The 27,635-nt window shown below is 47.1% G+C and overlaps 1 protein-coding gene and 1 long non-coding RNA gene across 6 annotated transcripts in view, besides 1 other annotated feature; both read right to left on the bottom strand.

Annotated features, from left to right (window-relative positions):
* Positions 1-8,008: 8,008 nt before the first annotated feature.
* Positions 8,009-18,690, bottom strand: LOC124902177 (uncharacterized). The gene is made up of 2 exons (XR_007061568.1): positions 18,258-18,690; positions 8,009-9,258 (listed from the first exon to the last, which is right to left on the bottom strand). It is a non-coding gene; the product is annotated as an uncharacterized LOC124902177 (long non-coding RNA).
* Positions 18,648-18,942: a silencer, noted in NCBI's record as "tiled region #1664; HepG2 Repressive non-DNase unmatched - State 12:CtcfO". NCBI's record gives its function as "represses a minimal TATA promoter and a strong SV40 promoter by Sharpr-MPRA in HepG2 cells {active_cell/tissue: HepG2}" and the evidence as "EXISTENCE:reporter gene assay evidence [ECO:0000049][PMID:27701403]".
* APBA1 (amyloid beta precursor protein binding family A member 1) overlaps positions 23,707-27,635 on the bottom strand; it is a 245,482-nt gene continuing 241,553 nt past the window's right edge. For all 5 annotated transcript variants that reach the window (XM_011518617.3, XM_005251968.4, NM_001163.4 and 2 more), the window contains one exon: positions 23,707-27,573. In XM_011518617.3, coding sequence (XP_011516919.1) covers positions 27,502-27,573 — 72 coding nt within the window. In that variant the 3' untranslated portion in view covers positions 23,707-27,501. The remainder of the gene's footprint in view (positions 27,574-27,635) is intronic.

Genomic DNA, 27,635 nt, shown 5'->3' on the forward strand with positions numbered 1-27,635 from the left:
GTAATGGGTAAAGAAGTGAACCAGACACTGTCCCCACCCACAAGACAATCACAGAACATCAGAGAAGAGAGGCAGAGCAGATACATCACATTCCAATGTGCTAAATGCTGGAAAAAATACTAGAGGCATCACAAAGCAGCAAGCCATTCACCCTGCGAGCAGGCGCAAAGACTGAATAGGATTTGCATGGGCAGGAAAGGGGTGGCAGGTGTTGCAGGCGCAGGATAAAGCTGTCCATGTCCGGGAGCAGTGGGGAGCCACAGAAGATGAGGCAAGACAGAAGTTAGAGTCTGGGCACGGTGGCTCACGCCTGTAATCCCAGCACTTTGGGAGGCCGAGGCGGGTGGATCACGAGGTCAGGAAATCGAGACCATCCTGGCTAACACGGTGAAACCCCGTCTCTACTAAAAATACAAAAAATTAGCCGGGCGTGGTGGCAGGCGCCTGTGGTTCCAGCTACTCAGGAGGCTGAGGGAGGAGAATGGCGTGAACCCGGGAGGCGGAGCTTGCAGTGAGCTGAGATCACGCCACTGCACTCTAGCCTGGGCGACAGAGCAAGACTCTGTCTCAAAAAAGAAAAAAGAAAAAAAAGTTAGAACCAGGCTTGTAAAGACCCTGGAATGCCAAGCTAAAGCCATTAGACTCTGTTCTTGGAGGCACACGAGGAGGCCCTGAGTAAGCCCAGTGACAGCAGAGAGTATGAGTTGGAGTGGAAACAACTGGAAATATGAACTCCTTTTGTGGTGCTACTGTTAATACTTTCACTTGCGTCCGTGTGAAGAGACCACCAAACAGGCGTTGTGTGAGCAATAAAGCCGTTTATTTCACCTGGGTGCAGGCGGGCTGAGTCCGAAAAGAGTCAGCGAAGGGAGATAGGAGTGGGGCTGTTTTATAGGATTTGGGTAGGTAAAGGAAAAAGGGGGGTTGTTCTCTGGCAGGCAGGAGTGGGGGTCACAAGGTGCTCAGTAGGGGAGCTTTTGAGCCAGGAGAAGGAATTTCACAAGATATTGTCATCAGTTAAGGCAGGAACAGGCCATTTTCACTTCTTTTGTGGTGGAATGTCATCAGTTAAGGCAGGAACCAGCCATCTGGATGTGTACGTGCAGGTCACAGGGGATATGATGGCTTAGCTTGGGCTCAGAGGCCTGACATTCCTGTCTTCTTATATTAATAAGAAAAATAAAACGAAATAGTGGTAAAGTGTTAGGACAGTGAAAATTTTTTGGGGATGGTATGGAGAGAGAATGAGCGATGTTTCTCAGGGCTGCTTCGAGCGGGATTGGGGCAGCGTGGGAACCTAGAGTGGGAGAGATTAAGCTGAAGGAAGATTTTGTGGTAAGGGGTGATATTGTGGGGTTGTTAGAAGAAACATTTGTCATTTAGAATTATTGGTGATGGCCTGGATACGGTTTTGTATGAATTGAAAAACTAAACGGAATAAGAGAAGGAGAGAAACAGGTATTAAAGGACTAAGAATTGGGAGGACCTGGGACATCTAATTAGAGAGTGCCTAAGGAGGTTCAGCATAGCCTTGCCAGCAAAAATTATTTATTTACTTCAAGAGTTAAGAGTGGTGGTTTGGGGATAGCACCAGGAGATATCAGCTGTGATGGCTTGGAGAAACAGTGTAAACTGGCAGTGTAAACAAGAGCAGGGCATGTGTGAGTAGTTGAGAACGGTGATAGGAGTATGATTAGACAGAAGATAGTAGGGATGACAAGTTTTTTGGGGCACAGTCCAAGTTGGTCTGGTGTCTGGAATGAGACTGGGGCCTAATAAAAAGGAGCCTCTATACAGGAGCTCAAATGGGCTGTACCCTGTAGCTTTCTGAGGACAGGCCTAAATTCTGAGAAGGGGAAGTGGTAAAAGTATCGTCCAGTCCTTTTTAAGTTGGTGGCTGAGCTTGGTGAGGTGTGTTTTTAAAAGACCATTAGTCTGTTCTACCTTTCCTGAAAACTGAGGACTGTAAGGGATATAAAGGTTTCACTGAATACTAAGAGCCTGAAAAAATGCTTAGCTGATTTGACTAATAAAGGCCGGTCTGCTATTGGACTGTATAGAGGTGGGAAGGCCAAACCGAGGAATTATGTCTGACAGAAGGGAAGAAATGACCGTGGTGGCCTTCTTAGACCCTGTGGAGAAGGCCTCTACCTATCCAGTGAAAGTGTCTACCTAGACCAAGAGGTATTTTAGTTTCCTGACTCGGGGCATGTTGAGTGAAGCCAATTTGCCAGTCCTGGGTGGGGGCAAATCCCTGAGCTTGATGTGTAGGGAAGGGAGGGGGCCTGAATAATCCCTGAGGAGTAGTAGAATAGCACATGGAACACTGAGAAGTTATTTCCTTGAGGATATATTTCCATGATGGAAAGGAAATGAGAGGTTCTAAGAGGTGGGCTAGTGGCTTGTACTATAGCATAGCCTGCCTTTGCTGGTGTTTGGCGATTACGCCTGTGGAACTGCCATCAATAAACCAAGTGTGATCAGGGTGAGAAACAGGGAAGAAGGAAATGTGGGGAAATGGGGTGAACATCAGGTGGATCAGAGAGATGCAGTCATGAGGGTCAGGTGTGGTATCAGGAATAATGTGGGAGGCCAGATTGAAGCCCGGGCCAGGAACAATGGTAATTGCGGGAGACTCAACAAAGAGTGAGTACAGCTGAAGGAGCCGGGGAGCAGAAAGTATATGCAACAGGTGTGAGGAAGAAAATAGATTTTGGAAATTATGAGAGCTGTAGAGAGTGAGTTGAGCATAGTTTGTGATTTTAAGGGCCTCTAAAAGTATTAGGGAGGCAGCAGCCGCTGCATGGAGACATGATGGCCAGCCTAAAACAGTAAGGTCAAGTTGTTTGGACAAAAAGGCTACAGGACGCGATCCCGGTCCTTGTGTAAGAATTCCGACTGCACAACCCTGCACTTCAGCTGTGTGTAATGAAAAGGGTTGGGATGAATCAGGGAAAGCTAGGGTGGGGGCAGTCTTTAAAGCTGTCTTCAAGGAACGGAAAGAGGAGTGGGGAAAGGATTTAGGATCTATGGGGTCAGCTAGGTTTCCTTTTGTGAGTGTATATAATGGTTTTGTTAGGATGGCAAAACCAGGTATCCAAAGGCGAAAGTATCCAACCATGCCCCGGAAAGAAAGGAGTTGTTGTTTTGTAGAAGAGGTTGGGGTTTGAGAGATTAGTCAGACACGATCAGCAGGGAGAGCACGTGTGTTTTTATGAGAATTATGCCGAGACGGGTAACAGATAAGGAAGAAATTTGGGCTTGACTGAAGTAATGGGGGCTGTCTGAAGTTTGTGGCAGTACAGCCTAGGTAATTTGCTGAGCCTGATGGGTGTCAGGGTCAGTCCAAGTGAAAGCAAAGAGAGGCTGGGATGAAGGGTGCAAAGGAATAGTAAGGAAAGCATGTTTGAGATCCAGAACACAATAATGGATTGTGGAGGGAGGTATTGAGGATAGGAGAGTATATGGGTTTGGCACCATGGGGCGGATAGGCAAAACAATTTGGTTGATAAGGCATAAATCCTGAACTAACTTGTAAGGCTTGTCTGGTTTTAGGACAGGTAAAATGGGGGAATTGTAAGGAGAGTTTATAGGCTTTAAAAGGCCATGCTGTAGCAGGCGAGTGATAACAGGCTTTAATCCTTTCAAAGCATGCTGTGGAATGGGATATTGGCATTGAGCAGGGTAAGGGTGATTAGGTTTTAATGAGATGGTAAGGGGTGCATGATCGGTCGCCAAGGAGGGAGTAGAGGTATCTTATACTTGTGGGTTAAGGTTGGGGGGATACAAGAGGAGGACGCAAAGGAGGCTTTGGATTGGGAAGAAGGGCGGCAATGAGATGTAGCTGTAGTCCAGGAATAGTCAGGGAAGCAGATAATTTAGTTAAAGTGTCTCGGCCTAATAAGGGAACTGGGCAGGTGGGGATAACTAAAAAGGAGTGCTTAAAAGAGTATTGTCTAATTTGGCACCAGAGTTGGGGAGTTTTAAGAGGTTTAGAAGCCTGGCTGTCAATACCCACAACAGTTATGGAGGCAAGGGAAACAGGCCCTTAAAAAGAAGGTAATGTGGAGTGCATAGCCTCCATATTGATTAAGAAGAGGATGGATTTACCTTCCACTGTGAGAGTTACCTAAAGCTCGGCATCCGTGATGGTCTACGGGGCTTCCGAGGCGATCGGGCAGCATCAGCCTTCAGCCGCTAAGCCGAGAAGATCTGGGAAGGAGTCAGTCAGAGAGCCTTGGGCCAGAGTTCCAGGGGCTCTGGGAGTGGCTGCCAGGTGAGTTGAACAGTCCGATTTCCAGTGGGGTCCTGCACAGATGGGACACGGCTTAGGAGGAATCCTGGGCTGCGGGCATTCCTTGGCCTGGTGGCCAGATTTCTGGCACTTGTAGCAAGCTCCTGGGGGAGGCAGTTCTGGAGGAACGCCTGGCCACTGCGGTTTAGGTGTTTGGAAGTTCTTGTGTGCTGGAGATGTGGCTGGGGTTTGTCTCACAGTGGAGGCAAGGAATTGCAACTCAGAAATATGTTGCTACTTGGCTGCCTCTACTCTATTATTGTACACCTTGAAGGCGAGGTTAATTAAGTCCTGTTGTGGGGTTTGAGGGCTGGAATTTAATTTTTGGAGTTTCATTTAATGTCGGGAGCAGATTGGGTAATAAAATGTATATTGAGAATAAGACGGCCTTTTGACCTTTTAGGATCTAGGGCTGTAAAGCGTCTCAGGGTTGCTGCCAAACAAGCCATGAACTGGGCTGGATTTTTATATTTGATGAAAAAGAGCCTAAACGCTATCTGATTTGGGATAAAGAAAAAGGAGCATTAACCTTGACTATGCCTTTAGCTCCAGTCACCTTTTTAAGAGTAAATTGCTGGGCAGGTGGGGAAGGGCTAGTCACGGAACGAAACTGTAAGCCGGACCGGGTGTGAGGAAGGGAGGTGATAAAAGGATTATAGGGTGGAGGAGCAGAGGCTGAGGAAGAATTGGGACCTAGCTCGGCCTGGCGAGGAGGGGACAGGTTAGATGGGTCTGCAGAAAAGGAAGATTACAAAGACTCAGCGATGCTTGGGGTTGGGACTGAGGGGACAGGTGGGAGGGAAAGATGGAAGATTTGGGACGAGTCACATTGGGAACAGGGACTAGGGAGGGACCAATGTGTAAAAGAATGCCTGGACGTCAGGCACCTCAAACCGTTTGCCTATTTTACAACAAGAATTATTTAGATCTTGTAGGATGGAAAAATTGAAAGTGCCGTTTTCCGGCTATTTGGAATTACTGTCGAGTTTGTATTGGGGTCAAGCGGCATTGCAGAAGAAAATAAGACGCTTAGATTTTAGGTCAGGTGAGAGTTGAAGAGGTTTTAAGTTCTTAAGAACACAGGCTAAGGAAGAAGGAGGAATGGAAGGTGGAAGCTTGCCTATAGTGAAGGAGGCAAGCCCAGAGAAAAGAGAGTAGAGACACGGAGAAGGGGTGGGGGGTTCTTGTCCTCCAGAAAAGCAGAGAAGGGGTTGGGGCATGGAAATAAGGGGTTGTGGCACAGAGATAAGAGGTCGGGGCACGGAAATAAGGGATGGGGCGCAGAGATAAGAGGTCGGGGTTCCTGTCCCTCCCCCAGAAAAGTGGGACTTGCCGCTAAGGGTGAAGGACGAAGGCAGGTGTCCCTGCGTGGTCTGACACGTCTGAAACCTGGGTGAATAATCAGAGAGGTGTCCTTGCAGTGATTAAACACCAAGGGAAGGCTGCCTTCCCTAGTCCATGACCGGCGCCGGAGTTTTGGGTCCACGGATAAAACGTGTCTCCTTTGTCTCTACCAGAAAATGAAAAGAATTGAAATTAAGAGAAGGGAGAGATTGAAGTGTGACACCAAGATTGAAACGAGAAAGAGGTTGAGGGATAGTGAGGGAGGTTGGAGAAGAGAGTAAAAAGAGGCCGCTTTTCGGATTTGAAATTGGTGAGATGTTTCTTGGTCTGGTTGGTCTGAGGACCTGAGGGCATAGGTGGATCTTTCTCACGGAGCAAAGAGCAGGAGGACAGGGGATTGATCCCCCAAGGGAGGTCCCCCGATCGGAGTCACGGCACTAAATTTCACTCGCGTCCATGTGAAGAGACCACCAAACAGGCTTTGTGTGAGCAATAAAGCTGTTTATTTCACCTGGGTGCAGGCCGGCTGAGTCCGAAAAGAGTCAGCGAAAGGAGATGGGGTGGGGCCGTTTTATAGGATTTAGGTAGGTAAAGGAGAAAGGAAGGTTGTTCTCTGGCGGGCAGGAGTAGAGGTCACAAGGTGCTCAGTAGGGGAGCTTTTGAGCCAGGATGAGCCCAGAGAAGGAATTTCACAAGATAATGTCATCAGTTAAGGCAGGAAGAGGCCATTTTCACTTCTTTTGTGGTGGAATGTCATCAGGAATCAGCCATCTGGATGTATACGTGCAGGTCACAGGGGATATGCATTAGGAAAGATTTAGGATTTAAAATGGCAAGAAAAAAAATGGAAGTAGGCCTAATATCCAGCAAGAAGAATAAATTATTTTGCATTAACATTTTAAAAAGTTGTATATAAGCAAAAATTTGCCAGGAGTGGTGGCACGAGCCTGTAATCCCAGCAACTCGAGACGCTGTGGCATGAGAATTGCTTGAACCTGGGAGGTGGAGGTTGCAGTGAGCCAAGATTATGCCACTGCACTCCAGCCTGGGCGACAGAGTGAGACTCCTCTCAAGAAAAAAAAAATTGTATATAAGGTAGCATAATATATTGCTATTAAAAATGTTTTTAGGCCAGGTGTGGTGGCTCACGCCTGTAATCTCAGCACTTTGGGAGGCCAAGGTGGGCGGATCACTTGAGGTCAGGAGATTGAGACCAGCCTGGCCAACATTGTGAAACCCTGTCTCTACTAAAAATACAAAAATTATCCAGGTATGGTGGCAGGCACCTGGGAAATACACATGGTCCACACAGTTTAAATGGAAATATATTGAAGGGCCACAGTGATTCTCTCTGGATATTGAGATTATATGTAAAGATTGACATCTGGCTCTGACCATGTCTCATGATCTCCACTGTGTCCTCCTCAGAACAAGCCACCACCCTCTTTACCCGAAGATTGCTTTTTCCCTTTTTACAATGTTTCTAAATTTCTGTCAATGTTCATGTGAATATGCATTTGTCTTACAGTCAGAAAAATTGTTTCTAAATAAAGATTGAAAATTGATTTAAAACAAGGATCTGCCCAATATGATGGAGAAGGGGGGCCTGAAGAAGCCGATTTCGAGCAGAGGACAAACTACTTTGGAAGCAGGGGGCAGAACTTGCTCTCTGATTGGGTGTGGGAGAGAGGCAAGAGTCAAAGTTAAATTCAGCCTCACCTCTTCAGCCCTCCTCAGTGCAGCAGCCCGAGCGGTCCTGTTAAAACAAGTCAGATCACATCCTCCTCTGCTCACTGCCCCCCAGTAGCTCCCACCTTGCTTGGCATAAACACCAGTATTCTTAGAGTCACTTCACAGCATAAACTTTCCCACCCATCCTAGTGTTGTCTCTCAATTCAGGACCTCTTCCCCTCTCCCTCTCACCCTCCCTCCCTCTGCTCTCCTCACTTCCTGGAAGAGGCCTAGGAGTTCTTGCCTCAGGGCCTTTGCACCTGCCAGCCGCCTGTCTGTTTTCCCTGTCTGTTTTGCCCTCTCAACTCCTTCAAGTCTTGACTCCAGTGTACCCTTCTCAGTGAGGGCTTTTCTGGCTGCCCTCTCCAAATACATCCCTCTAGAACTCTTATCTTTTCCCTATTTTTTTCTCTTCGCACGCTCCACAACTTAATTTAACTATCTCTTTTACTTATTTAACTTGATTTTTTTGTCTCCCTCGCTGGAATATATATAAATAGCAGGAAAGCAGGGATTTTGTTCAGTGAGGTCTTCTCAGCTCCCGTCACAGAATTAACCGCAGTCAGATGTTTGCTGACTGAATGACCATAATCTAAGAACCTAAACATTCCATTTACCACAAAAAGACCATCAGATTTATTCATCGTTTAGTAAAAGACATTTATTTGATGGCTAGACTTCTTTCAATAGTAAACTCTCTTGGTAACATTTTCACATTATTTCTTGGTCACTTTCTTTGTTTTCGGGGACAGCATAATTTAGAGACTAGAAATTGCGGGGAGGTGGTGGTAACCGGGTCCGGTCTCCGGCCGACGGGAGGATGGGGGCCACTAGGGCCGTCAGATCTCGCCGCGAAGGCGCAGAGCTTGGGCTTGCTGGTTCCAGCGTGGTTCCCACCTCCTGGGGAGCGGGGGGCTGCGCTACTCAGGGCGCTCGCTGCTCCCGTGGCGGTTTATGGCCTGTGTGGCCTGGACGTCGCGATTATTGTCCAAGACTTTCTCCTAGCAGCAGTGGCAGTTCCGGTTCTGCTGGCGAAGGTGCGGGTCTAAGAGGCGTAGACCGTTTTCCCCTGGGGGCTTGTGGGGATCCAGCGCCCACCAGAGAGGCGGCTGCAGGCTAACTCCACGAGCCACTCGAGCCAGCTGTGCTCATGTCTCCCTTGGCCCTCCCCGCTTCTGGTGCAGAATGGAGCCTCCCGCGTCCCAGGCCGGGAAAAACGCGACCCCCATCAGATTGGCTGGGACCCCCAGGATCCCGGCTATTGGGAGACGCTGCGCTGGAGGGAACGTTTTGGAACGCGGGGTGGGGTCGGTGGGCGCTTCCCTCCTGCCTCTGGGCTCCAGCCTGATGTCTCCTCCCTGCCTAACTAATTTCGAATGGAAATAACCTGAGGAGTAAAGCAGCAGAAGCGGTCGTTTTATTCCATGCCCACCCTCGCCTACTATAGATCAGCCGAGAGAACACGGGGGACGGCTTTCTCTATTACTAAAGGGAACTGAGGATGGAGGGGGAAGGGGACTGGGCAGTCCTTGGGGAGGGAATCTAGACCATGCCAGGCCCCAGACTCCTTTCCCGGCAGGGCCTATGTCCTGGGGTTTATTGAAATCGTTGCTGTATTCCCCCGCGGCCCACCAGGTGGCTGTAGCGGGTCACACATTGGGCTGGAGAAGGCCAGGAGAGCCAGGGCCGGAGAAACGCCTCGTCCACTTCCAAGCAGGGCGAGTCCCAGTAGCCTATGGGGACTCCAGCCTAGGACGTGGGCCACCGAGGCTCCTAGAATCATCGTGGCTAACAGCCATGGAACGATCGCCACGGTCCTTGCATCCGCAGCTCCCAGCACCGTGGCTGGCACCAAGCAGTGCTCCGAAGCTTCTTTCTGGGAAGGAAGGCTGAAGGGTGAGAACGCAAGCGAGCAATGAACAGCAGTTTCCAGCTGCCATCACCCAGAGCTCTTCTTTAGTCAAGAGTGAAATAGAATAAAATGGAACTGAAAATGGACTTGGTCCCTTGGGCCCCATGTCTAACTCTAGCCTACCTTTCCTGTCAAACTGGGTTGGCTGTGCTCCCCACGGCCAAATCATCCCTCTCCCTGGCCCCTGCTCCCCGGAGGCTGCCCACCTGGCTCCCGCAGCTCCATCCACCTTCCCCAAGCTCCCTGCAGGTTCTGTTCATCTTCTCCCTGAGATGTCATTTGTGCTGAGCAGTCTGCCTGATATTTCAGCTACCTGGGTACCTGTGGGTCTCACCCCTGATCACAGGCTCCTCAGGGAAGAGGGGATGGGAAAGTACAAGACAGAATGAAGTTTGTGTCATCACTCTGGGATTTTGGGCAAATTACCTAGCACATGTGAGGTCAGTTTCTTCATCAGTAAAATGGGGATAATACCTGCTCTGTGATATTGCTGTGCAGTTAAGTGCTAGAGCCTATGCAGCTCATTTGCCTGGCATCTTATAGGTGCTCAAAGAATGTTAGTTCTTATCATAACTGTTAGTGAGCTTGGTTGGAATGGTGAGTGGTTTTTTTTTAATCACTTTTTTTTTTAAAATTTTATTATTTCTATACTTTAAGTGTTAGGGTACATGTATACAACGTGCAGGTTTGTTACATATGTATACATGTGCCATCTTGGTGTGCTGCACCCATTAACTCGTCATTTACATTAGGTATATCTCCTAATGCTATCCCTCCCCCATCCCCCCACCCCACAACAGTCCCCAGTGTGTGATGTTCCCCTTCCTGTGTCCATGTGTTCTCATTGTTCAATTCCCACCTATGAGTGAGAACATGCGGTGTTTAGTTTTTTTGTCCTTGCCATAGTTTGCTGAGAATGATGGTTTCCAGCTTCATCCATGTCTCTACAAAGGACATGAACTCATCCTTTTTTATGGCTGCATAGTATTCCATGGTGTATATGTGCCACATTTTCTTAATCCAGTCTATCATTGTTGGACATTTGGGTTGGTTCCAAGTCTTTGCTATTGTGAATAGTGCCGCAATAAACATACGTGTGCATGTGTCTTTATAGCAGCATGATTTATAATCCTTTGGGTGTATACCCAGTAATGGGATGGCTGGGTCAAATGGTATTTCTAGTTCTAGATCCCTGAGGAATCGCCACACTGACTTCCACAATGGTTGAACTAGTTTACAGTCCCACCAACAGTGTAAAAGCATTCCTATTTCTCCACATCCTCTCCAGCACCTGTTGTTTCCTGACTTTTTAGTGATCGCCATTCTAACTGGTGTGAGATGGTATCTCATTGTGGTTTTGATTTGCATTTCTCTGATGGCCAGTGATGATGAGCATTTTTTCATGTGTTTTTTTGGCTGCATAAATGTCTTCTTTTGAGAAGTGTCTGTTCATATCCTTTGTCCACTTTCTGATGGGGTTGTTTGTTTTTTTCTTGTAAATTTGTTTGAGTTCACTGTAGATTCTGGATATTAGCCCTTTGTCAGATGAGTAGGTTGCAAAAATTTTCTCCCTTTCTGTAGGTTGCCAAAATTTTCTCCCTTTCTGTAGGTTGCCTTTTCACTCTGATGGTAGTTTCTTTTGCTGTGCAGAAGCTCTTTAGTTTAATTAGATCCCATTTATCAATTTTGGCTTTTGTTGCCATTGCTTTTGGTGTTTTAGACATGAAGTCCTGGCCCATGCCTATGTCCTGAATGGTATTGCCTAGGTTTTCTTCTAGGGTTTTTATGGTTTTAGGTCTAACATGTAAGTCTTTAATCCATCTTGAATTAATTTTTGTATAAGGTGTAAGGAAGGGATCCAGTTTCAGCTTTCTACATGTGGCTAGCCAGTTTTCCCAGCACCATTTATTAAATAGGGAATCCTTTCCCCATTGCTTGTTTTTCTCAGGTTTGTCAAAGATCAGACAGTTGTAGATATGTGGCATTATTTCTGAGGGCTCTGTTCTGTTCCATTGGTCTATATCTCTGTTTTGGTACCAGTACCATGCTGTTTTGGTTACTGTAGCCTTGTAGTATAGTTTGAAGTCAGGTAGCGTGATGACTCCAGCTTTGTTCTTTTGGCTTAGGATTGACTTGGCAATGCAGGCTCTTTTTTGGTTCCATATGAACTTTAAAGTAGTTTTTTCCAATTCTGTGAAGAAAGTCATTGGTAGCTTGATGGGGGATGGCATTGAATCTATAAATTACCTTGGGCAGTATGGCCATTTTCATGATATTGATTCTTCCTACCCATGAGCATGGAATGTTCTTCCATTTGTTTGTATCCTCTTTTATTTCATTGAGCAGTGGTTTGTAGTTCTCCTTGAAGAGGTCCTTCACATCCCTTGTAAGTTGGATTCCTAGGTATTGTATTCTCTTTGAAGCAATTGTGAATGGGAGTTCGCTCATGATTTGGCTCTCTATCTGTTATTGGTATATAAGAATGCTTGTGATTTTTGCACATTGATTTTGTATCCTGAGACTTTGCTGAAGTTGCTTATCAGCTTAAGGAGATTTTGGGCTGAGACAGTGGGGTTTTCTAGATATACAATCATGTCATCTGCAAACAGGGATAATTTGACTTCCTCTTTTCCTAATCGAATGCCCTTTATTTCCTTCTCCTGCCTGATTGCCCTGGCCAGAACTTCCAACACTATGTTGAATAGGAGTGGTGAGAGAGGGCATCCCTGTCTTGTGCCAGTTTTCAAAGGGAATGCTTCCAGTTTTTGTCCATTCAGTATGATATTGGCTGTGGGTTTGTCATAGATAGCTCTTATTATTTTGAGATACGTCCCATCAATACCTAATTTATTGAGAGATTTTTAGCATGAAGCGTTGTTGAATTTTGTCAAAGGCCTTTTCTGCATCTATTGAGATAATCATGTGGTTTTTGTCTTTGGTTCTGTTTATATGCTTGATTACATTTATTGATTTTCATATGTTGAACCAGCCTTGCATCCCAGGGATAAAGCCCACTTGATCATGGTGAATAAGCTTTTTGATGTGTTGCTGGATTCGGTTTGCCAGTATTTTATTGAGGATTTTTGCATCAATGTTCATCAAGGATATTGGTCTAAAATTCTCTTTTTTTGTTGTGTCTCAGCCAGGCTTTGGTATCAGGATGATGCTGGCCTCATAAAATGAGTTAGGGAGGATTCCCTCTTTTTCTATTGATTGGAATAGTTTCAGAAGGAATGCTACCAGCTCCTCCTTGTACCTCTGGTAGAATTCGGCTGTGAATCCATCTGGTCCTGGACTCTTTTTGGTTGGTAAGCTATTAATTATTGGCTCAATTTCAGAGCCTGTTATTGGTCTATTCAGAGATTCAACTTCTTCCTGGTTTAGTCTTGGGAGGGTGTATGTGTTGAGGAATTTATCCATTTCTTCTAGATTTTCTAGTTTATTTGAGTAGAGGTGTTTATAGTATTCTCTGATGGTAGTTTGTATTTCTGTGGGATCATTGGTGATATCCCCTTTGTCATTTTTTATTGCGTCTATTTGATTCTTCTCTCTTTTCTTCTTTATTAGTCTTGCTAGCGGTCTATCAATTTTGTTGATCTTTTCAAAAAACCAGCTCCTGGATTCATTGATTTTTTGAAGGGTTTTTTGTGTCTCTATTTCCTTCAGTTCTGCTCTGATCTGAGTTATTTCTTGCCTTCTGCTAGCTTTTGAATGTGTTTGCTCTTGCTTCTCTAGTTCTTTCAATTGTGATGTTAGGGTGTCAATTTTAGATCTTTCCTGCTTTCTCTTGTGGGCATTTAGTGCTATAAATTTCCCTCTACACACTGCTTTGAATGTGTCCCAGAGATTCTGGTATGTTGTGTCTTTGTTCTCGTTGGTTTCAAAGAACATCTTTATTTCTGCCTTCATTTCGTTATGTACCCAGTAGTCATTCAGGAGCAGGTTGTTCAGTTTCCATGTAGTTGAGTGGTTTTGAGTGAGTTTCTTAATCCTGAGTTCTAGTTTGATTGCACTGTGGTCTGAGAGACAGTTTGTTATAATTTCTGTTCTTTTACATTTGCTGAGGAGTGCTTTACTTCCAACTATGTGGTCAATTTTGGAATAGGTGTGGGGTGGTGCTGAAAAGAATGTATATTCTGTTGATTTGGGGTGGAGAGTTCTGTAGATGTCTGTTAGGTCCGCTTTGTGCAGAGCTGAGTTCAATTCCTGGATATCCTTGTTAACTTTCTGTCTCATTGATCTGTGTAATGTTGACAATGGGGTGTTAAAATCTCCCATTATTATTGTGTGTGAGTCTAAGTCTCTTTGTAGGTCACTAAGGACTTGCTTTATGAATCTGGGTGCTCCTGTATTGGGTGCATGTATATTTAGGAGTGTTAGTTCTTCTTGTTGAATTGATCCCTTTACCATTATGTAATGGCCTTCTTTGTCTCTTTTGATCTTTGTTGGTTTAAAGTCTGTTTTATCCGATACTAGGATTGAAACCCCTGCCTTTTTTTGTTTTCCGTTTGCTTGGTAGATCTTCCTCCATCCCTTTATTTTGAGCCTATGTGTGTCTCTGCACATGAGATTGGTTTCCTGAATACAGCACATGGATGGGTCTTGACTCTTTATCCAATTTGCCAGTCTGTGCCTTTTAATTGGAGCATTTAGCCCATTTACATTTAAGGTTAGTATTGTTATGTGTGAATTTGATCCTGTCATTATGATGTTAGCTGGTTATTTTGCTCGTTAGTTGATGCAGTTTTTTCCTAGCCTCGATGGTCTTTACAATTTGGCATGTTTTTGCAGTGGCTGTTACTGGTTATTCCTTTCCATGTTTAGTGCTTCCTTCAGGAGCTGTTTTACAGCAGGTCTGGTGGTGACAAAAATCTCTCAGCATTTGCTTGTCTGTAATGTACTTTATTTCTCCTTCACTTATGAAGTTTAGTTTGGCTGGATATGAAATTCTGGCTTGAAAATTCTTTTCTTTAAGAATGTTGAATATTGGCCCCACTCTCTTCTGGCTTGTAGAGTTTCTGCCAAGAGATCCGCTGTTAGTCTGATGGGCTTCCCTTTGTGGGTAACCTGACCTTTCTCTCTGGCTGCCCTTAACGTTTTTTCCTTCATTTCAACTTTGGTGAATCTGACAATTATGTGTCTTGGAGTTCTCTTCTCGAGGAGTATCTTTGTGGCGTTCTCTGTATTTCCTGAATTTGAATGTTGGTCTGCCTTGCTAGATTGGGGAAATTCTCCTGGATAATATCCTGCAGAGTGTTTTCCAACTTGGTTCCATTCTCCAGGTCACTTTCAGGTACACCAATCAGATGTAGATTTGGTCTTTTCACATAGTCCCATATTTCTTGGAGGCTTTGTTCCTATCTTTTTATTCTTTTTTCTCTAAACTTCTCTTTATGCTTCATTTCATTCATTTTGTCTTCCATCACTGATACCCTTTCTTCCAGTTGATCACATCGGCTACTGAGGCTTGTGCATTCATCACGTAGTTCTCTTGCCATGGTTTTCAGCTCCAAAGGTCCTTTAAGGACTTCTCTGCATTGGTTATTCTAGTTATCCATTCATCTAATTTTTTTTCAAGGTTTTTAACTTCTTTGCCATTCGTTCGAACTTCCTCCTTTAGCTTGGAGTAGTTTGATTGTCTGAAGCCTTCTTCTCTCAGCTCGTCAAAGTCATTCTCCATCCAGCTTTGTTCCGTTGCTGGTGAGGAGCTGCGTTCCTTTGGAGGAGGAGAGGTGCTCTGATTTTTAGAGTTATTCCAGTTTTTCTGCTCTGGTTTTTCCCCATCTTTGTGATTTTATCTACCTTTGCCTTTGATGATGGTGATGTACAGATGGGGTTTTGGTGTGGATGTCCTTTCTGTTTGTTTAGTTTTCCTTCTGACAGTTAGGACCCTCAGCTGCAGGTCTGTTGGAGTTTGCTGGAGGTCCACTCCAGACCTTGTTTGCCTGAGTATCAGCAGCAGTGGCTGCAGAACAGCGGGTATTGGTGAACCGCAAATGCTGCTGCCTGATCGTTCCTCTGGAAGTTTTGTCTCAGAGGAGTACCCGGCTGTGTGAGGTGTCAGTCTGCCCCTACTAGGGGGTGCCTCCCGGTTAGGCTACTTGGGGGTCAGGGACCCACTTTAGGAGGCAGTCTGCCCATTCTCAGATCTCAAGCTGTGTGCTGGGAGAACCACTACTCTCTTCAAAGCTGTCAGACAGGGACATTTAAGTCTGCAGAGGTTACTGCTGCCTTGTGTTTGTCTATGCCCTGCCCCAAGAGGTGGAGCCTACAGAGGCAGGCAGGCCTCCTTGAGCTGTGGTGGGCTCCACCCAGTTCGAGCTTGTTGGCAGCTTTGTTTACCTACTCAAGCCTCGGCAATGGCGGGCACCCCTCCCCCAGCCTTGCTGCCACCTTGCAGTTTGATCTCAGACTGCTGTGCTAGCAATGAGCGAGGCTCCATGGGCGTAGGACCCTCTGAGCCATGTGTGGGATATAATCTCCTGGTGTGCCATTTGTTAAGCCCAATGCCTCGCCCTGCTTCGGCTCACACAAGGTGTGCTGCACCCACTGTCCTGCACCCACTGTCCGGCACTCCCCAGTGAGATGAACCTGGTACCTCAGTTGGAAATGCAGAAATCACCCATCTTCTGCATTGCTCATGCTGGGAGCTGTAGACTGGAGCTGTTCCTATTCGGCCATTTTAATCACATTTCTAATAGAAATTGAATATTGGAGGATTTCTAGTGAACATGTGAGGGGAAGAAGATCAAAAGATCACTTTGCACTGGAAACATTTCACTGTGTTTGTGCTGTGGTTGGAGATTTCAGTAAGATGGGAGCTGAGCAGAGGCCTACTGTGTGTCCTGTGAGGCCACTGCACTGGAGGCGACCTCAGGTGTCACTTGGAATGCTGTCTCTTCTCCCTTAGCCAAGGCAGGTCCTGGAGACCTTCAGAGCCTGTTTTCTAATGCTGTGGCAAACAACTAAAATGTCGACATTTGACCTGTGTGCTCCCAAATGGACCATAAAAAGATGATTGCTTATTTTATTTAGTAATAAAAGTAATATTTTTAGGCCACCCCTCCACAAGAAAGCTTAGAAATTGCTTAAGTAGCTGAGAAGCTGGCCACAGCAGGTGTGCTGGTAAGTGTTTAACAACCAGCTCTCTGGGGGGGAAACTATGAGTGTGCATCTGTGCTTATTTACCTGATATAAAGAATGTGTAACACACAGTTTACAAATAATAATAATATATTCACTCATTTTTTGGGGGGGGTGCAGGTAGAAACTCACTCTGTTGCCCAGGCTGGAGTGCAGTGGTGCAATCATAGCTCACTGCAGCCTTAAACTCCTGGGCTCAAGCAATCCTCCTGCCCCAGCCTCCCAAGTAGCTGGGACCACAGGCACGTGACACCATGTCTGGCTAATGTTTTATGTTTTTGTAGAGAAGGAGGACTTGCACTGTTGCCCTAACTGGTCTTCAACTCCTAGGCTCAAATGATCCTGTTGCCTCAGCCTCCCAAAGCTCTGAGTTTACAGGTGTGAGCCACCATGCCCCGCCTCACTAATCTTTATTGCAAATGCCACCCACCTATAACTTCAGTATGACTTGGTATTTCCTGCAAACTCACAATCAGTTTTTCTAATTCTGTTACCAAGAATAGTGTCACCAAACCAGACTACAAATAAATGTTTGACTCCTATGTGAATCGCCAAAGATGTTACTCATAATACTGGTGAATGAATGGAGCTCTGACATGCTACACTGTGGGAGGCTGTGGCTCTGGGTGTGGTAGAGCTGGTTGCCATCATAAAGAAAAGCTCAAGTGAATGGGGGGAGAGCAGGTAGAACTGGAACCCATGAGGACAGAGTTCTGTCCTACCTGCCTCCCACTGCAGTGATGTGGGGACCTGCAGGAGGAGTTAGTCCCACTCACACCTGGCCCAGGTCTCAGAGATACTGAGGGAGAATCTGGAGGAGCTGCCGACCGGCTGCTTCTCTGAGCCGCTGGTGCAAGCCAGCAGACCATCGACAACGTGTATGAGCTGCGACAGCCCCTGGTGTTGCCGGGACCCACAGTGCATTTTGGCTGACGCTTCCTATCTGCCCTCCAAATCTCACCTAAACCTCTCCTGCAGTCCTCATTTGGAATCATACAGGGAGGGAAGTCTGGAAAACAAAGTTCTAGCCTAGTTAAGTTGACTTGATGGAACGCCACCATGCTTGCTTGATGCTTCTGTGCTAGGTGGGGATCTCCTCACCCTGTTGTTCCAGGTTTCTTTGCCTCTGCATGGAAAGCTGTTTTTCAACCATGGGACCTGGAAAACTCCTGTAGTATATTCAAACCCTGCAAAGATCTCACTCGCTCTGAGAAAAGCTCCCGGACCCTTCCCCTCCAGGACTAGTTCTGTACCTTGTACTCAATGACTGTGTCTACTGCACATGCTAAATGTTCAAGGACAGAGTCACTAATGGTTAGAACAACTGAGCCAAGCTGTGCCCATCGCATAGGTGAAGAACTGGAGGAGCAGAGTGGTTGAGTAGCTTGCCAAGATCACACAGTGACAATTGGTAGGAAAGCTGTAATTTGAACCCGGTCTGTGACTCCTCTTTTAATTATAACCCACGGTGACTAGAAAGTCAAGGGAGATTTGGCTCCTGCCCATAAGAAACTCCAATTAGTGGAGGGGAAAGAGGTGGTTAAGGTAGTAAGTAGCTGGTCAGTTGTGCTATGTCTGAGACTGACAATAGGAGCAGAATGTGGAGTAGACCCTGGATAAGGGGGTCCAGGGTAGGAATGAGGTTGTTTCCCGCCTTCCGCCTTCCGCCTTCCACTTCCCGCAGCGGTAGCCTCAGCCTTCTAGGAATGGCTTCTCCCCAGCTGGAGGAAGGGACTAGAAGGCAGCAGTTATCTATGCTGCTTGCCGCGCCACTGTCACAAAGACTCTGGAGCTAGCCTGAGAACTGGGGTCACAGCAGTGTGCTCAGCCTACCTCCAGGGCCTCCTGGGTCTGGCCAGTAGGAAGATGAGGTCCGCGTTGTTGTCTGTCAGCAGCTGGGATCATACAAAGGAGCATTAGCCTGGGAGCTAGGGAGTGAGGTTCTAGCTGCCTGCTCGCTGTGTAGTCTCCAGCAAGTCCTACCCCTCTTGGGGTCTTTGGTTTCCTTATCTGGAAAACAAGGGGCCTGGGATGGGTGGCCAAGGCTCCTCCTTCCCTCAATCGCCTGGGAATCTTGGCAGTTATTTGGATTTGGCATTTCTCATGTAATTCCACCAGAGGGCGCCAAATACTAGCTCTTACCAACTTGGTTCCTGAAGCGGGTGTCTGCTGGGGAGGGCGCAGAGGAGGTGGAGTGTGAGTTGAGTGTGATAGTGTGGAAGCAATTAGCAATTAAGTGTATGTGAGTGAGTGTGTGTGTGTGTGTGTGTGTGTGTGTAGCACCAAAGCTCCTGTAACCGCCTATATCTCCCACCACCACCCTCTGCCTGCTGGCTGCATCTTCAGCCACTTGAATTCTCCTTTCTTAGCCTCCACGCCCTACCAGAGAGGCCTGGCCTCAGGGCCTTTGTCCTTGCTGTCCCTTTAGCTTGGAACACGCATCCCTAAGGCATCCACAGGGCCCTCCCTCACTTCTTCTTCATGAGGCATTCCTAACCAACCTACATAAAATAGCCACCCCCAAACTCATTCTAAGCTTTAGTTAAAAACATTAAAGAAAACTGTGGTAAAATATACCATAACATAAAAAGTACTATTTTAACCATTAATTTTTAAAATAAGAATATAGTTAAATACATATAACATAAAATTTCCCATCTTAGCTATTTTTAAGTGCATAGTTCAGTAGTGTAGCGTACATTCACATTGCTGTGCAATCAGTCTGCAGGGCTCTCTTTTTCTGGCAAAACTGGAGCTCTGTACCTACTTAACAATAACTCTTCATTTCCTCCACTCCTCTACTTTCTGTCTGTAAGAATTTGACTACATCAGGTATCTCATGTAAGTGGAATTATACAGTATTTATCTTCTTGTGACTGGCTTATTTCACTCAGCATAATGTCCTTCCAGTAGCGATAAACCCTTATGCTAGCATGTGCCAGAATTTCCTTCCTTTTTAAGGCTGAATAATATCCCACTGTGTGCCTGTACCATGTTGTGTTGACCCACTCATCGATGGACACTTTGGTTGCTTCTGTCTTTTGGCTGTTGTGAATAATGCTACCATAAATAGGGATGTACAAATACCTGTTTGAACTCCTGATTTCAATTATTGTTATTATTATTTTTTGAGACAAGGTCTTAGTCTGTTGCCCAGCCTGGATTGCAGTGGCACAATTTCAACTCACTGAAGCCTTGACCTCCCAAGCCCTAAGCAATCCTCCCAATTCAGCTTCCTGAGTAGCTGGGACTCCAGACTTGCACCACCACGTCCAGTTAATTTTATTTTTTTTTGTGGAGACAGGGTTTTGCTATGTTGCCCAGACTGGTCTGGAACTCCTGAGCTCAAATGATCCCCCTGTCTTGGCCTCCCAAAGTGCTGAGATCACAGGTGTGAGCTATCACACCTGGCCCCTGCTTTCAATTCTTGTTCCATGCTTTTATATTTTATTTTATTTTATTTATTTTGAGATAGGGTCTCGCTCTGTTGCCCAGGCTGGAGGGCAGTGTCCATGCTTTATTTTTTCTGCAGAGCACTAATTACCAACCAACTGCCCTCCTCCTGCCCACAACTAGAGATGCAAATGATTTCTATTTGGTAGAAAGATAACCCTAAAGGTTATAATTGTATTGCCTTAAGGACATTAGCCAGTTTTGTTTTATTTTATTTTATTGTTGAGACGGAGTCTCGCTCTGTCACCCAGGCTGTAGTGCAGTGGTGCAATCTCGGCTCACTGCAACCTCCGCTTCCTGGGTTCAAGCGATTCTCATGCCTCAGTCTCCCATGTTGCTGGGATTACAGATGCCCACCACTATGCCTAATTTTTGTGTTTTTGGTAGAGGTGGGGTTTCACCACGTTGGCCAGGCTGGTTTCAATCTCCTGACCTCAGATGATCCACCCGCCTCGGCTTCCCAAAGTTCTGGGATTACAGGTGTGAGCCACCATGCCCAGTCGCAACCGGTTTTACTTCAAACCTAGTAATTTTATTCTAACATTCTTTTAAAAATGTCTATAAATACTTAGGTCCTCCAAATACTTTTTGGACCAGCTTTACCATCTTACTTGTTTCATCATTAATGATTAATAAATCTCTGATATGTGTTCATTCCATCTTTGTTATGGGAGTTATGTTTTTTAACTTTTAAAAAAGTATGCATTGGCATCTAGAAGTTTTTCCCAGGGGCTAAAATCTGCTTTTGGATGAAATTCAGTACATCAGTAGTTTAGGACTTCGGGTGTTTGGGGGCGACCTGCACTAAGCCATGCAAGTGCGTGCGGAGCCTCTTGAGTTGTGGCTCCCGTTGGTGTACCCAGGGGGTCTGGAAATTCCAGGAAGCTTATGAGGACCTGGATCTGCTGGGCCCCAGGAACGGCCAGTACTTCCTCAGCAACCACTATGCGCCATGCACATTCTGAAAGCTTTCTATGTGTTAGCTTATCCTCACACGGTCTCCCTGAGATAAACACTAGTTTGCAGATGAGGAAACAAGCTCAGAGGGTTTAAGGAACTCTGAGGATCACAGTTTAAGCAAAAATTATAGAAGAAAGACCTAAATAAAGTGGTTCTATGTGCATCAAGGTGGTTAAATGGTTTTTTTCTCTAGTTCTGCAATTTCATCTAAGATCAAAGCCAAGAGGGGGAAGCTAAGGTATAGTCTATGGTAGGAGCAGCCTTGCCTGTGGGGGCAGACCACACCCACACAGGCAGATACCATCCATCAGGGGACTGTGGTCTCCTGTGGGACAGACAGACTTCCAGGGAGCTTGCTGAGAGGTGCCAGTTCAAAGACTAGACCCTCCCACCAGCTGTCTTCCCACCGTCATCCTGGTGATGTGAGAGGGGTGTTGTCATTGGCGGGGGATGGGTGCAGAATTCAGGAAAGGAGCTACTTACTCGCCACTCCACTCTGGGAGGCAAGGGAATATTGACCTCGTCAAGGGAGGCGAATCCCAAGAGCATCACTGTGAAGGCTGGGGGCCTGTGCCCTCCACTTGCCTCCCCACACACTGAACTGGGTGCTGGTAACGTCTTATCTACATGTGGCCGAGGGACCGGACCAGCAGAAGGTGTGGTGCTGTGGGTGGTGAGAGAGATAATAGGAAGCAATGGCTCTGGGATGGGCAGGGGAGAGACAGCCAGGGGTGCCCCTCCCTTCCTCTGAGGGTGAGGAGGATGGTTGCTGGATGCTTCAGGAGCTTGCTGGCTGGGGAGATGGTGGCTGCAGGCGGCTGGGGACACAACCTGTGTGGAAGAGGTGTGCACTTTAGAGGTGTGCACAGATTGGTACCAGTCTGTGGCCTGTTAGGAACTGTGCCACACAGCAGGAGGCGAGCAACAAGTGAACAAAGCTTCATGTGTATTTACAGCCGCTCGCCGTCGCTGGCTCACATTACCGCCTGAGCTCCGCCTCCTGTCAGATCTGCGGCAGCATTAGATTCTCATAGGAGTGTGAACCCTATCGTGAACTGTGCATGCGAGGGATCTAGGTTGCAGGCTCCTTATGAGAATCTAATGCCTGATGATCTGTCACTGTCTCCCATCAGCCCTAGAAGGGACCATTGAGTTGCAGGAAAACCAGTTCAGGGCTCCCACTGAATTATACAGTTCACCATAGAATTGTGAACTGTATAATTATACAATTCTATGGTGAATTGTATAATTATTTCATTATATAACAATCAGAGAAATAAAGTGCACAATAAATATAATGTGCTTGAATCATCCCCCTCCGTGGCACCCGGTCTCTGGAAAGACTGTCTTCCATGAAACTGGTCCCTGGTGCCAAAAAAGGTGGAGACTGCTGCTTTAGAGGACTGTGGCTAAGGGGTCAGCTGGAAGATGGGGCCCAGGGCTCAGGGACCCTGAATGCCCGGTTGCTGCCAATTGTTTGTCTTCATTGATCTCCTGGTCAGTGGACCAGATCAGCAGAATGAACCAGCAAGGCGAGGACTGTGACCTTCCCAAGGGCAACTCTTAATGTAGGGGAACCTCTGTGCACCTCCTACCCATGCCCCTTCCCATAAAGGGACTCAAAGAAGGAGACAGGGAGGGAGGGAGGGAGCTGAGAGCAAGTCCCGCTCTCCTAGGCCAGTGCTCAATTCCAGTCTGGGGATGGGGAAGTAGGGCAGACTGATTTGAATAAGAGATGTGGTTTGCAAATCAATGGAAGAAAACCAGGAAGGAAAACATTATAAGAACCAAAAGAGACCCAAAAGTCTAACGCTGAGTTCATCCGTGTGCGATGACAAGCCTGTCCCAGGTGGGTGCAGGTGGGAGTTGTTGGAAAGCTGAGCATAAGTGCTTGAACCCTCTGTGCCCGTTTCCTCCTGTATAAAATGGAGACAATGATAATACAGGAAAAGCTTCTACCTCTTAGAGGTGTTGTGGGGAGTTACCAAGTTCATCTCTGTAGGATGCTTGGCACATGGAAGTTACTATAAAGACTAGCTGCCATTCTTCAAATTGTGACTTCCCCAGACACCAGTTCAATGTGCTTTCTTCCCACTTGATTCAATGGCAGCCGTCTCGGTGGTGGGACACTCTGCTTGCTGTGAGGAGGATGGAGGAGAAGGGGCTCCTCGGGGCCAGGCCACAGGACCCTCAGGATAAGGCCCTGCCTCCATGTTCAGGGCTTTCAGCAGCTACAGACCTGACGGGGCTGCAAAAAGCTTTGCAGGGAAGATGGGGGAGGGGTGTATGCAAAGAAAAAGCTGACAAGCAGTCTGCTTTGGAACAGGGCTGGACACTCTGTGTTGGGGAGTCCAGGGCCCCCAGCATGCCCCCGGCAGCAGGGAGGGCATGCCTGGCAACCTTCAAAAAGTGAATTTCCAAAGAGCACCAGGAGGAAACCTTCCAGAACCTTCTCACAGAACCTTTGGATGGGCCTCTCAGGGCGCTGTTTTCCACCGTCCACTTAGATCTTAGTCCCTTACAAAAAGGTACCTCCCTTACGGGAGATGACTGAGGTGGGGGAGAATTAATTCCTGTTTTCCTGCCCTCATGGAGGATGTCAAGTAAGAAATCCGGAGAATTTCTCTTTCTCCAGTTCAGTGTGCTCAAAGGAGACCCACAGGACTGGAGGATCAACTGGGACAGGAGAACAGAGCCTTTCTTGTCTAAAACCAAGTCAGTTCCACAGAATAAAAGCTCATTTAGAGAACTCCTGGGCTCTGGGCGCCTATAGGGTGGGTAGGAGCTAGTCAGTCAGTCTGTTAGGGAAAAGACAAACTCATCACATGATCCCAAGCCTTCCCTGCAACAAGAAGACACTTGGCCAGGCCAAGAGGTGAAGTTCTTGTTTATTGTTGCAGCAACTCTTATACAGACATTAGCGTTCAGTTAAATAAAGGAAGATAGATAGCACAGTAAATACATCACAACCCCAAACTGGATGACTGTGGCCACGGGACGGAGGAGGGAGGGAGGGAGGGACCAGTGACCAGACTGTCAAGGAAGTACATTCAGTGGGTGTGCGGTGTCCACATTCCAGGCTCACGTGTAGATATATTTTATTTATATATTTATTTATATTTATATATAGATCATTGAGTTTTGTGTATACAAAGAACGATATTGTTACAAATACAATACTATACTTCTCCCGACACTTTACAATAAGCTCTATTTCACCCTCTTTACAGAACAATAGTACAAGTTCATACTCTAGGTGCTGTGCTAAGTATGTACAAGAAATGTCATTCCCACACAGTCCTCACACACTGCCTTGATGGAGGGGAAGAAAGATCGAGTTGTGTGCTCAAGTCAACCTAGGCCAGGGAAGGAGACACATGAAACTCAAACCAACAGGTGGCCTGTGAATGCGAGTAAACACATCTAAGGAGGGGCGGCCCCTGGTTGTAAACATTGGTAACGGCTACACCACTGGGTCGAGGGACCCGGGAAGGGCTCTGTAGATGGTTTTCATCTGTGTGCGGGAGGTGTTGGTGCCCACAGGGTGAGGGGGGCAGAGGAGCGATGGGGGAGGTAGTAGGTTACTCTGGGACTCCCTGAAGGCGGTGTTGATGGGCAATGTTCAGAAAGCAAACCCGTGCACAGGGACCCGGCACCCCTGCCATGCACTCCTAGGAGCCTGCTCTGGCGAGGGAAGGTGTCGCTGGAGAAGTGGGCTCCAGGCATTGGTCTTTGGGGGTTTCTTCCTCTCATGAACCCAAGGCTGATGGTGGCTCCCTGAAATGCTCACACTGGAGAAAAGGCAGGATGGGTTCTGGTGCCTCTGCCTGGACCAGGAGGGGGAGGTGAACGTGGGAGTCCAACCCCAAAGCTGAGCCACCAGCACACCCTGGTGGAGCAGCCACAGCAGCTCTGTGCCCTCACAGCGTTTGGGAAGGCTGCCCTGTACATAGCCTTCCCATTACATGGGGTATTTAGATATTTACATGTATAACTATATATACTGGGATGACAGAAGGGAAGACCACCACTTCTCTTGGGACTTTCAAAAAATCTAGCGACTTGCTTTTAAGACTGTGGCTGCTGAGGTGACCATACCTAGGCTCACTCCCTTGCCCCAGTGGTAGTGGGAAAAAGAACCCACTTCAGCTGGGTGGACCTGTACCGAGCTCCAGCAACTTCCACTCACTGGGTGTGAAGACACACCTGGATTAACACAAAAGAATGTGGCAGAGAAATCTTCTCACTCTAATGTTACAATGTCAGTCCTCTAGGAGAGCTTGCAGAATTGGCTTTTTCAGCACCTCTCAAAGTTTACAAGGTTTTTGTGCAATAGGAATAGAAAGTATATTCTCTCCTTTAGGTGAACATACATAACCGTTATGTGCAGGTTGTACAGGGATGCACTACTGGAGTTCTGTCCCCTGGCCAGTCGTGGGCGGGCCTCTGTGGCACTGCCCAGGTGCCTAGGGACAGACAGGCATGGGCCCCTACGATGATTTTCCAAGGCTCCTGATGCCTGAAATACCACCAGTAACACTTCATTCCTGTTCTATCCACTCTTATTGGCAGAGGAAAGATGAACTGGCTGATGACTCTTTAGTGTCTCACTGTATCACCAGATACTCTACAGCAAATGGAGAACCCTGGCCATGGTTCCTTCCTGGTCCTCACGTTTGTGATGGGTTGACCTTGAGGCTGGTCTCCCAGAAACATTCTGTAAAGCATCCTTCAAAGAAGTCCTGGGGAGCTTTACGGACCATCCCAGAGCCCCTGGCCCCACCGGGTGCCACTCTCTGCAGCAGCAGAAGTCCCTTTCCCCCCAGGGCACCTGGGCAGCCAGCGGCCTCCCTTCCTCAGGGCTCCTTTGTAACACAGTGAAACTGAGAGTGCCACTGCTCGTTCCTGTCAAGCACTGAGCTTCCCTGATTCTAAGCAGAAAACTCAGAAGATGCAGAGATCTCGGGGAATTGATCACAGAACTCTCTGGTTGAAGTCTCTTGTCCCTAATCTTGTTATAGTCACTTTGCTCCCTCCTTAGAATCCCTCCATTCTCTCTATAAATACATGCTACCCACCATTTGCTCACTGAGTTCCTATTTCCATAGACACAACATAAATATCTCGGATGCAGAGAACAGGGACTATATTAATTACAAAATATAATAGTTTCTCTTCCCCTGTCTCTACTGAGGTCATGAATGAAACAAAACAAAAGCAAAGCCAAATCACACCTCACATGAACACAAAATGCTCTTTGGACCAAGTGAAAACTGGCTCAGAATTATAATATTACTAAAACATCTACACTGAACTGAGACGGAAGCATAAATATGAGGCACCTGATGAAAACACGGAACAATTCCACACCAGCCAAAAATGCTCTCAGGCCCACAAGGCAGCAAGAGGGTGTTTATGGACCACATCTGGGGATTCTGAGGCATAACTTGAGGTTGCTATTGTCTCCTTAATTTTGTGGTTTATGTACTATTCTGGCCTTTCCAATATCACATCCGCCTAGTGGCCCTGAGCAGAGAAGAAAGTTGGTCTTGCCTTGGGCCAGAAAACAAGACGCAATTGCACCTGCAGCTTGCCTTCTTGGGAACAGTCCCTCCTTCCCAGACTCCTGGGATGTGTGTTCGGCAGGGAGGGGAGTCCAGGAGGAGGATGCTTTAAGCCAAAGTGGTGCTGGAGGGGCTGGGCCTCAGCGCAGAGAGGGCAGGTCTCTCAGGATGAGGCTGAGCAGCCCCCGCCTGCCTGGCCACCTGCCAGGGAAGGGGCCTTCCAGAGAGGTGGGTTTCCAGGGGATCTGTGTGCCTAATCTTCAGCTTGTCTCACTGGTGGTGGGAGCAGGGAAGGGTGATATGCAAATGGGACTGTGTGTGTGTGTGTGTGTGTGAGAGAGAGAGAAGCAGACAGTACCTGCCTGTGTTTATCTAATGGTTGATAACTTGAGGACAACCTGGTAAAGCTTCAGATGCCCCATGAATTGCCAAGCTCTCTGTGACACTATGGTGTCCTTGCCCAAGGCAGTTATTTCCCCTTTTATCCTGGGGTGAGAAGGCTCGTATTAGAAAACACACATACGTTGAAATTAGAACTAGCAATAGAAGAGGTTTAAGGTTGGCTCAGAGATTCTGGGAAGAAATAATGTATGGTGCCCCAACTACATGGCAGGCAGTGCATAACCTTAATGACGTGGGCTGGCCCTGGGTACTACCACATTCCCACAGATAAACTCAGAGAGCAGGGATCAGCAACTGGGTTTTAGGCACTGCTGAATCAGCTGCTTTGCTGCCCCGCGAGCTCCTTTTAAGAAGTCTGCACCTCCTGGGAAGGGAGGATTCTCCCTCAAGCAGTGACAGCCCACCCCCTGGACACACCCAGAAAGCCCTCCAGGATGGTCCTGGGTCAGTACCAGGTGGGTGCTGGCTGCTCTCCATCCTCAAGGGAGTGCATACGAAACTTCCCTGGTATTGAAAAAAAAAAAAAAAAAAAAGCAAATCGGAGAGAGTAAAGAGGTCCTTGTGGATTCTTCTCTTCCTGTGTAAAACCAAATGCTGGGCGCGAGAGGGGAAAGTCTCAGTGGACACAGGGATGCAGCACGAGAAACACAACCACGAAGAGGAGAGTCCTCCATGCATGCCACCGCGTGTGGCCGCGGTCAGATGTAAACAGGCTGCTCCTGGGCCGTCAGCAGCCTGTACATCGCGGCTGGCATTGTCTTCATATGAATCTGAGGGTAAAGAACACACTTTAGTGGGGGGCTGAGGCTGGGGGCTGGCTGCGTGGGCACTG

The sequence above is a fragment of the Homo sapiens genome, chromosome 9 (genome assembly GCF_000001405.40).
Source record: "Homo sapiens chromosome 9, GRCh38.p14 Primary Assembly".
Lineage (NCBI taxonomy): Eukaryota > Metazoa > Chordata > Mammalia > Primates > Hominidae > Homo > Homo sapiens.